General features: G+C 33.3%; 1 protein-coding gene across 5 annotated transcripts in view; it reads right to left on the bottom strand.

Annotated features, from left to right (window-relative positions):
* Positions 1 to 12,356, bottom strand: part of ASCC3 (activating signal cointegrator 1 complex subunit 3) — a 373,136-nt gene that overhangs the window by 32,203 nt on the left and 328,577 nt on the right. The window lies entirely within an intron of this gene.

Consider the following 12,356-nt stretch of genomic DNA (forward strand, 5'->3'; position numbering starts at 1 on the left):
AAAAAAAGCCCCACATTGTTGGATCAAAGTATAATAATTAATGTACTTCTTAGCTTTACTGACATTTAAAACATGGCTCAGAAAAATCATACAATAACCATATCCCTTAGAATTTTGCTTGTTCAATATTATCATTAATACACAAGCAATGTATTAATGATAGTGAATAACGTACAATCTGTGAAATTCATGAATGTTCCTTTGTATTTATAGTCAACAAAAATAACAGAGTATTTACTAGGCATCACACACTATACATGACACTGGGGCCACAGCAGTGAACCAGAAACTGAGAGGTAGATAAAAAAATTATATAAAGTGTAATAAATGTTACGATATGGTAAAAGTACAGAGTGTTGAATGGCAATTCAGTTTGGGGGACCTTCTTATTTTAGAGGGTGAGGGAAAGCTTTCTGAAAAAGTGATGTTTAACTTAAGATCTTGTGAATGAATGGAAGAAATAAGACAGGGCTGGAGAAAGGGGCAAGGATAAGATTGGCAAGATGAGAAAAGGGTAAAGAGCAGAATTATTACTTACTATTTATTGTAACCAATTAGATCATACAGAGAGTTAGATTGTTCTGGAATGTTTTGATTTTTCATCTTAGATTTTTTAGGGTACAGTAGTGAAAAGTAGTCTCCATGATATCAGTCAATAAGTGCCAATTGAACCTACAAGCGAAACTAGAACTGTTCTGTTAAAAAATAGACTGATCTATTTATTAGCGTTTGTTGTGAAACAAACATCATATTTTTCCAAATATGTAGTTATTTGAGATTGTCCATGGATGTTGATATGAATCCTACATCAGACATAGCATTAATTGGATATGTTAATATTCAAACAGGGGCTGGATTTATCCTCCTACTGCAACTGCCAACTTCCTCCAAAAAATTAAAAAAAAAAAAAAGACAAAAACCTATGAAACAGTGGTCTTCCAGATGCTGAACATAAAACTATGAAAGAGAATGATCTCTGATATATAGAAAACAAACTAGGTGACCCTTAGCATTGCCTCAGCTTACTGCATGGAGCGTTACCACACTGTGGTGTAGTGAGAGAGAATCCAGGTACACCTGGAGGACTACCTGTATTGAGGAGATGAAGACAACCTTGCCTAAGTAGTGGAGAATAATTAGCTCTACGACAAATATTACTCTAGACCTGCCCAGCAAATCAAAAAGCAACACCTAAAAGGATCAAACAGCTTCCAAGTAAATTAACTGCATTCCAGAACAGAGCTCAAGAAGATTTATAGGAATACAAAAAATACAGTACTCAAGAAGGTGAAATTCACAATGTATGTCATCCAATTAATGATTATCAACTATGCAAAAAAACAGGAAAAGAGGATCTATAACAAGGAGAATAATCAATCAATGAAAACTTAGGACTGACATAGATCTTAGAATTAGCAGACAAAACAGTTGTTACAACTGTATTTTACATATTTAAAAAGTTACTGACAACTACTCAATTCAAATTTCTAGAGATGAAAATTACAATGTCTGAGATGAAAAATACACTGAATTTTATTAATGGAAGAATACACATTGAAGAAATTTGTAAACTTAAAGACATCAATAGACACTATTAAAAATGAAACACAAAGAGAAAAAAGAATTTAAAAAATCAACACAACATCAATGAGTTGTGAGACAACTTCAAGTGGCCTAATGCACAGTGTGGAAGGAAGGGCAGAAAAAAGTTTGAAGATATAGTCACTGGAAAAGGTCTAATTTGATATAAACTATAAATCTATAGATTCAAGATATTCAACAAACCTCAACCAAAGAAAAATGAAGAGAACTATACAACCATAATTCATCACTACTGAATTGCTCAAAATCACTAATAAATAGAAAATATGAAAAGCAGCCAGAGGAAACACTATGTTATGTACAGTGGAAGGAAGATAAGAAACCAGGTTTCTCATCAGAAATAATGCCATAAGGCAACAGTGAAGCAACATGTTTAATTTACTGTAAGAAAAACAACTGTCGGGCCGGGCGCGGTGGCTCACGCCTGTAATCCCAGCACTTTGGGAGGCTGAGGCCAGCGGATCACGAGGTCAAGAGATTGAGACCATCCTGGCCAACATGGTGAAACCTCATCTCTACTAAAAATACAATGAATTAGCTGGGCATGGTGGCACGCACCTGTAGTCCCAGCTACTCGGGAGACTGAAGCAGGAGAATCGCTTGAACTCGGGAGGCAGAGGTTGCAGTGAGCCGAGATGGCGCCACTGCACTTCAGCCTGGAGACAGAGCAAGACTCCGTCAAAAAAAAAATAATAATAAAATAAAAAAAGAAAAACAACTGTCAATCTAGAATGCTAAATTCAGTGAAAATAAATCTTTCAAAAGTGAAGAATTTTCAAACATACAAAAGCTGAAATAATTCAGCTGACATGCTTAATGTTAAAGTCATTGTTCAGGCAGAAGACAAATTATACCAGATGAAAATATGGATCTACACAAAGAAATGAAGAGCACTAAAAGTGGTAATTTCATGGATAAATATGTAATAATTTGTTATTACTATTTTAATATCACTCAATACAAAATGATTGTTTAAACAAAAATAATAAATAATGCATTATGGAGTTTAAAATACATAATTAGAGTTTATTATCTACATAATAAAGCATGACCCAACTACAGTTGTCCCTTGGTATCCATGGAGGATTGGTTCCAGGACCCCCTACAGATACTTAAATCCAGATACTCAAGTCTCTTATATAAAATGTGTAGTATTTGCATGTAACTTACACATATCCTCCTGTATACTTTAAGTCATCTCTAGATTACTTATAATACTTAATACAACGTAAATGCTATGTACATAGTTGTTATACTGTGTTGTTTGGGGAATAATGGCAACAAAGAAAAGTCTATACATGTTCAGTACAAATGCAGCCATTTTTTTATGAATATTTTCGATCTGCAATTGATTAATCTATGAATGCAGAACCCATAGACACAGAGGACCAACTATATATGTTTGCCTACTACCAAACACGCACTAATATACATATATAAATACATGTATATATGTGTAGATATGTATATATTAATGTATAGAGAGACAAATATGTTAAAAGTAAAGGAATAGAAAAAGATATACTATGCTAACAGTAGTTCAAAGAAAGGCAGAGTGGCTATATTAATTTCAGATAAAGTACATTTCAGAGCAAAGATTATCATCATGGATAAAGACGGTAACTTCATTAACTATAAAGGAGTCAATCAATCAGAAGGACATAACAATCTGAAACATTTATGTCCTGAATAACAGCTTCAAAATCCATGAAAAAAAACTTGTAGAAGTACATGGAGAAACAGAAAAAAAATCAGAAGTATTGCTGAAGATTTCAATACCTATCTTTTAATAATCACTAAAACAAGTCGAAAAAATCAGCAAGAATATAGAATTGAACAACACTGTTAACTAAGCTGACTTGATTGACATTTATAAAACACACAACGCAATAAGAGTTGAATATATTTATTCTCAAGAACACAGAGACTATTTACTGAGATCATATTAGAGGGCCATAAAAACAAATTTCAAGTGATACTTTGACTGCAAGAAAATGAAATGAGAAACCAATGACAGACAGATCTCTGGAAAATCCCAAATATTTAGAAACTAAGTAATACACCTCTAACTCATGATTGAAAGAAAAAATAAAACAGGAAATGAGAAAGTATTTTGCACTGAATGAAAATAAAAATATAACGTCTCAGATTTTGTGGGATATCATTGGAACAGTACTTAGGAGGGATTTATAAAACTAAACATCTATATTAGAATTGAAGAAAGGTCTCAAATCAGTGACTTTTGTGTCCACCTTAAAAAACTAGAAAAAGAACAGGAAATTAAGTCCAAATAAGCAAAAGAAAGGAAAGGATGAAAATTAAAGTGAACAAATCACTGAAATAGGAAACAAATACAATAGAGAAAACAAATGAGACCAAAAGCCGGTTCTTTAAGAAGATCAACAACACTGATACTCCTCTAGCAAACAGATCAGGGAAAAAGGAGAGAAGACACACACCAATATCAGGTATAAGAGGGGTGACATAACTACAGGTTTTACAGATACTAAAATAATAATTAAAAAATAATATGAACAGCTTTATGCCTTTACCTGTAAAAACTAAGATGAAATAGATAAACTCCTTGAAAGACAAAAAAAAAGAAGAAATAGAAAACTCAAGAAGAAATAACCTGAAAATCTTTACATGTATTAAAGAAATTCAATTTGTAGTAAAAAATCTTCTGACAGAGAAAACTCCATGCCCTGATAGCTTCCCTAGTGAATTCTATCAAACATTTAAGAAAGAATTAAAACCAATTCTGTAAGAATTTTCCTGGAACATCAAAGAGACAGAAATATTTCCCAACTAATTTGATGGCACCAGTTCTGTCCTTATGTCAAAACTAGACAATAACATTAAAGGACAAGAAAACCACAAAATATCTCTCATAAACGTAAAAATTCTAAACAAAATTTTAGCAAATTTAACAATATATAAACAGAATAATACATCATGACCAAATGAAGTTTATTCTGGGGATGCAGGATTGGTTAAACACTCAAACATCAATAAATATAATTCACCTTATAAATAAACTTTAAAAGAAAAACCACATTATCATCTCAGTTATACAGAAAAAAAAAATCTGACAAAGTTCAACATCCATGCCTAACAAAAACTCTCAGCAAACTAAGAAAAGGAGGGTTACTTTTTCAACCTCATAAATGGCACTTCTTTTTTTGTTGCTTTTTTTTGAGACGGAGTCTTGCTCTGTCGCCCAGGCTGGAGTGCAGTGGCACCATCTCGGTTCACCGCAACCTCTACCTCCCAGGTTCAAGCGCTTCTCTTGCCCCAGCCTCCCAAGTAGCTGGGACTACAGGCGTGTGCCAGCACACCTGGCTAATTTTTTCATTTTTAGTAGAGACGGGGTTTCACCCTGTTAGCTAGGATGGTCTCGATCTCTTGACCTTGTGATCTGCATGCCTCGGCCTCCCAAAGTGCTGGGATTACAGGCGTGAGCCACAGCGCTGGCCATAAATGGCACTTCTGAGAAATCTATGGCTAACATTTAATAGTGACAGACTGAATGTTTCTCCCCTAAGATCTGGAACAAAACAGGGATTTCTGCTTTCACCACTACTACTAATTATTCTCTTTTTAAAAAACAGAGATAGGGCCTCACTCTTGTCGCCCAGGCTGAAATGTAGTGGCACAATCATAGCTCACTGCAGCCTCAAACTCCTGGGCTCGTTATCCTCTCACCTTAGCCTTCAGAGTAGGCATGCACCACCATGCTTGGCTAATTAAAAAAAATATTTTTTGTAGACTTGGGATCTTACTATGTTGCGGAGACTGATCTCAAACTCCTTGCCTCAAGCAACTTTCTGCCTTAGCATCCCAAAGCGCTGGGATTACATATGTGAACCACCATGCCTGGTCTGCTCTTACTATTTCTATTCAACACTGTACCACAGGTTCTAGCCAGTACAATCAGGCAACAATAAGAAATAAAGGCATCTAGATTGGAAAGGAAGAGGTACAACTATCTTTATTTGCAGTTGACATGACCATCAATGTAGAAAGTCCAATGATATTTAAAAAATAAGTTTGGCAAGGGTGTAGGATACAAAATTAATATACAAAAATTGATTGTATTTTTCTGTATATTTGGAACCAACAATCAGAAATAAAAAAGGAATTCATGATAACATTATATATATGAAGTACACTTAGAGATGAATCTGATAAAAATATGAAAACCTGGATATTGAAAACAAAACAAAGAAAACACTGCTAGGAAAAAATAAAGAGGATCCAACTAAATGAAGGGTTATACCTTAATTCTCCCAAATTGATCTACAGATTTAATACAATTTCAGTTGAAGCTGCAGCAGGCCCTATGTTGTGTGTATTAGAAATTGACAAGTTGATTCTAAAATTCACATGGAAATGTAAAGGACCTAGAATAGCCAAAAGCACTCAGGATAAAAAGACCAACGTTGAAGAGCTAGCCCTACATTATTTTTTTTTATAGTTTAATGTATTTTAATAGCAAACTTACAGGAACAGCACAGAAGACAGACAACATTAAAAACGTGCTTGCATGTAGGACAACTCAGAAAAATACAGTGAACGGATGCAATCTACTGTATGATAGAAATGCAACCAACATCATTTAGTTGCTGTCAATAAGAAATTTACTTGTTTAAAAAAAATCCAAATCCTGGCATTGTCCAGAAAAATTTAACAAGTTTATTTATAGTTATCATAAAGCTGAATTGCTGAAACTTTTTCACTGAAACATTTTGATTTGCATTAATGCTTTATGTCTCCACATTTATATTAAAAATTCACACACAAATAAAAATGGAAAAACTGCCAATACCTGATTTCTGTCCCCTATTTTTTTCATTCACAATCATATACTTAGGTACCTTTTGACCCCATGGAAAAAAATATCTAGTGTTCACAACTACCACAACAGGAAGAAGATAATTTTTTTTTGAGAATGGAATATTTCCCATCATGATGGATTCTTAAGCATGTTCTCCATGAGCACTACATGACTTATAAAGCTACACTAAGCAAAAATGTATACATTGGAATTGAACAAGGAGTCCAAAAATAACCCACATATACAAGGGCAACTAATTTTTGACCAAGGCTCAAAGGCAAAGCAGGGGAGAACAGTCTTTTCAAGAAGTGGTAGTAGAATAACTGGGTATCCATATGGCAAAAAAGAATCAACTTCAATCCTTATTTTATACCATAAGAAAATTCACTCAAAATGTATCATAGACCTAAATATAAAATCTAAAACTTTAAAAGTTCCAGAAGAAAACACAGAACATCTTTGTTACCTGGAATTAGGAAAAAATTTATTTGATGGGACAGTTAAAACATGACCCATACAAGAAAAAAAATGATCAGCTGAACATCATCAAGATTTAAAATATATTGTTAAAATACTAAAAATAAAAGCCACAGAGTGAAAGTATCTGCAAAGCAGATATCTGATCTAGGACTTGTATCCAGAATATATAAGGTTCTCTCAAAGCTCCAACAATGAGAAAACAAACAGCCCAGTAAAAGAAGGGCTAAAGATTTTAACAGATACTTTATGTAAAGATGTCTCATATCACTAGTTTTAAGAAAAATATAAATTAGAATGGCCAAAATTAAAATAACTGTGACATAGCAAGTGTTGGAGAGAATGGGAAAGAAATGGAAATTTCATGCATAGCTGGTGGGAATGTAAGATGTTCCAATTTCTTTGGAAAAGAGTCTCATGTTTTCTTAAAACATTAAACATACACCCACCATGTGATCTAGCTATTCCATTCCTAGGGATTTACCCAAGAGAAAAGAAGGTGTATGTCCATACAACAAAGACTTGTACACAGTAGTTGGCAGCAGCATTATTTGTAAAGTGAAAAAAAAATCAGAAAAAAACTTAAATGTCCATCAACAGGTGAGAAGGTAAACAACTGTGTCACATCCACACAATGGAATTTTAGCAATAAAAGGAATTAATGATTGATGTTTGCCAGAACATGAATGAGTATCAAAATAATTATGTTGAGTCAAAGAAGCCAGACCAAAAAAAAAAAACAGGAATACATACACTAGGATTTCATTTATATCCTACTCTAGAAAATGCAAATGAATCTATAGGAACAGCAAACAGATTACTAGCTACCTAGGGGAGTGGTCATGGTGGGAGGTGTGTTCATAGAGAAAAATAAGACAACTTTTGATTTGCACTCATGGATTCTTGTCTATGAAATAAGACTTAACGATGGAACCCCTTAGAGAGTTCATTATTTGGAATGCAGTAATATGAAACAACTGGAATATTCTACTATCTATGCATAATGTCTGCATCTTTTTGTGCTTGATTGACAGTTTCAGAACCCCATGCCCATATTACATGCCAAGTATATACTACAAAAGTACTAAAAAATAGGGCAATGACGATAGTATTAAATCCTTATGAAAAAATTTAGACTATATTAATAGGAAACTTCCTATATCAAAACTTTGTATGAAATAATTTAATAAATATTTTTGAGTATCTACCATATGCCATTGTAGGCTCTTGGCACAGTCAAGCTCCCTAGTGTGACAGACAGACATTATTCAAGCAACTACATATATAAACGCAAATTTGATATGGTGACAAGTGCTATGAGGAAGAGATACATGGAAACATGAGAGAGTTTTGTAAAGAAATTTGACCAAGTTAGGAAGGTTAGGAAGGCTTTCTGAAGGAAAAGGCATTCAAACTAAGATATACAGGATGAGCAGATATTAACTAGGTGAAAAGAGAAGTGAGGAGTGTTCTAGGAATAGTATACAGTAGTTCTCCCTTATCCACAGGGGATACATTCCAAGAACCCCAGCGGACACATGAAACTCCGGATAGTAACAAGCCTTATATATACTATGTTTTTCCTATGTATACATACATATCTATGATAAAGTTTAATTTATAAATTAGGTAGAGTAAGAGATGAACAACAATAACTAATAATAACATAAAACAATTATAATAATATATTGCAATAGGAATTTTGTGAATGTCCTCTTTCTCTCTCAAAATACTTTGTGTAATGTAGGCACCTATTTTTGGATTGTGGTTGACCATGGGTAACTGAAACCTGGAAAGAAAAACTGCAAATAAGGGGGGACTGCTGTATACAAAGGCCCTCTAATGAGAGGAAAAATGGTGAGTCCACGAGACTGAAAAATGTTGTGCAAAAATAGTTTCAACAGATTTAATACAGCAGGCTGAAAAAGTATCTTGAATATTATTTGGAACATTCTGTTTAACTGAATTGATAAATATTTGTTAATTATGTCCCTTGTTTTTCTTGGTAATAATAAAACAATGTTATGGCTATTCTACGCTGTTTTGAATACTGTCTTCACTATTTTGGACTATTTTATGGAAGAACTATACGCTGACACATTAGCAGTTAACAATGTTTATTTAACCCTGTGTGTCACCTTGGTTTTCTTCTTGTATGTCATGTTAGTTTTTTCCTTTTTTCTTTGAAGTCATTTGCCAAAAATGAGGGATCAGCTATATAAGACAGTGCTATTATTCTTGGATTTCAGGTGAATCAGGACTGAACTACTGTTACCTGCTGACTGACTCATTTCAACCTGTTTAAGCTCCATCAAAGTCCCCATCAGAAAGTTCACTTATTTTCCCAGCCTTGCCAACTGGTTTAAGAAAAATGTAATAGCAAATAAGGAAGAGAATGACTCAGAAATCTAAAAAAAAAATTTTCCTTCAAGGAAATTAAAATAATATTTAGGGAAACAAATTATATAAATGAATAATTATTTTAAGTGAGGAATAAGACATTCTACAGAGAAGAGCACTGAAGAAAACTGGATGTGTTGGAAAGTTTCCCAGAAGACACGGCATTTGTTCTAGGCTTAGAACAATTTGTAGAAGAGGAGAGAGGAGAGATTCCCTGCATTCCAGGCAAAGAAAATAGTGTGAGTAGATCCATGAAAACTGATAAGGAGCATCTGAGGTTTAAGCTTCAGGGATGAGAAGAATGATGATGCTATTAGTAGCAGTGGAGTTGGGAACATCCATGAGCAGGAGCTTTCTGTCAAGTATGCAAAATACACTTAAAGAAACAGCAAGAATCCAGATAGTTCGGTGGAGGTGGTGGAAGGAGAAGAAATCAGCTTTAATTCTGTTTCATAGTCTAAAACTTTATTCACATTTTATGTTTCTTTCTACTGTTTGTAAAATCCAATTCCTTCTGATCCTTTATCAGAAGAAAATTCAATAGCTATTTTAGTACTGCAACCTGCATTGGGTCTACAGATTTTGAATGAAAACACTAATTAATAGTATTATCTATTAATTAGATAATCTACTTTCTTCAGTACTATGTAGGTCAACTTAATTACATACACTATACACTCCCATTTTCCCCTGAGAAAGAGAAACCTCTGAAAGTGTGAACATCTTTCTAAATATGTTTCTAGTATTCAAAAGTATACATTTTTCATAAGGCTTGCCTTGTAAATGTAAGCAAACTACTTCATTTGGTGCTAAAGAAACAATGATCTGCTCCAATGGTAGAGGAAAACTTAGGAGTGCTGAACTCACAGAGAATCAGCATATCTGAACAGGGCTGACTATACTCGACCATGCTTGCACTTGTGGGGTTATTTGCAGGTAACTTTGATCATAAGTACTTTTAGTTGTATTTCCCTATGTTAGAATTTCAACTCTGTTAGAATTTCAACTCCATGTAAGATGTGACTCTACTGTTCTCTTCTAAACCATGCTAATTCTGCTAGATTTATGTGATTTATTGCATTAATCCCCTTCTTTACTAGGATTGTGTATTTGACCACTGCCAGTAGTATCAGTATCAGATGAGTCTGCTAACAGTTGAGTATATTTTGGGTTGGAAAGAATGCTCTGCAGTAGAGATATTTTTCTAAGTTTAATAAGTTTCTAAGTTTAATAAGTTTCATAAAAATGCCTTATGTAGTTAATCTAAGTTTAATAAGTTTAATAAAAATGCCTTATGTAGTTATCCAGACAGTCACCCTCCTAAAATGTTAACCCAGTGATGCCTTTTCTTAGTGCATGAAGTAATCTTTCTTAACTAAGGGTTCCTTAATTTCTTTGCAAAAAACTATATGCACTTCAATAAAAATTAAAAGTACTTCAATAACCACAAGGTCTTACTGGGCTGGGTAGCTTGTTTACCACATATTTATTCAGCATATATTATGGACAGGTATACACAATGGTAAACAAAAAGAGACATGACTCTCTGCTTTTATGAAGCTCTGCAGTCTAGCGGGGGAGCCAGACCTTAATCAAAGATAATCACAAATAAATGCAAAATGGCAACTGGACAAATATAATGAGGAAGAGGTACATATAATAATAGTGGGCATGTAGGTATCTGTGAAGAAGTTATGATTGAATTGAAAGACAATCAAAATGATTTTTTTAAAAGAAAAAGGAAGGAGGGAAGATAGGTTAAGAATCAAATTTGAATAGAAAAGGGGGGACTGGCACTTATTATAGTAACATACTCTTAAAAAGGCTTAATATTATTTTTCAAATATAAGTTATATCTACACTGTACTTGATAGTGAGTCATAATCCAAAAGTGTCTACACTGATTTTATAATTAAACATATGCTTTTGGTAAGTAGGACATTTTTCATTATCAAATTTGACACAGACAACACTTTTGAGATCTTCAAAGGAGCTGACATTTGGTTTATAAATGTTTATCAATTATCAAATCAATATTAGTTTCCATATTTAAAAATTATAATTAACAGGTCTAATCAACAGCTATTACTTCCTTTGACAGTTCTTCTTTTTCTGCTTCCAGTGTTTGAAATAAAGGGAATCCAAAGAATGTGGTAGTAAGTAACTCATCCCTTTAGAGATATTATAGATCTCTAGGGTGGGCATGGTGTGGGATGAGGTGGTGGAGAGAAATGTGAGATCTGGGAATTGATACAATAGGTGATCTTCAGCTCTGCCACTTCCAAGCTATGTAACCTTCTGAGAGTAACTGTAACTCCCCAGGTCCCAAATTTCTTATCTTAAATTTGGGTTTGGTGTGAGAATTCAATATGATAGTGTTTATAAACCACTTAAACATGGTAAGATGTGCTGTAAATGTTAGAAATAATAATAATAAAAATAATAGTAATAATAATGATAATAATCACATCTGATACTCTAAAGGATGTTAACTGAATTTTAAGAGTTAATTGAATTTTGTTCTACAGTTTTCAGATGTAAATCTTTGTTTATAATTATGTAAGTGTCCTTCACTATGTAAAATAAAATTTAATTAACCTACTTTAAAAAATATGATTCTTAAAGTGTTATTCAAAGAAACAAGATTTTTAAAACTTATGCTTTACTAGTAGTTTCACATTCATTTTATTCAAGTAACCATACAATTTATATGTGATTGCATCATTGAAAATATTGGTTCTTTGAAAGACCAATATGTGCTTGTAATATAAGAGACAGTCAAATTCAAGATAAAATATTCAGAAATTGTATCCTCTTGAACTGCAGATTTGATACTGTGAGCTTTAGTCTCCAATCTCCAATTAGGTTTCTTTTAAATCCACATTAATTAAATGCTCACAAAAGTACATCAATGTGTGATAAAGAAATATGCTCTTTCCAGTGCACCTCAGTGGAACTAACTCAAAATAGTGTGGAAAGATAGAGAAAAAGAAGCATTAATACAGCTGGAATGCAACATTTCTGAAAGAAAAAAAAAAGT

The sequence above is a fragment of the Homo sapiens genome, chromosome 6 (genome assembly GCF_000001405.40).
Source record: "Homo sapiens chromosome 6, GRCh38.p14 Primary Assembly".
Lineage (NCBI taxonomy): Eukaryota > Metazoa > Chordata > Mammalia > Primates > Hominidae > Homo > Homo sapiens.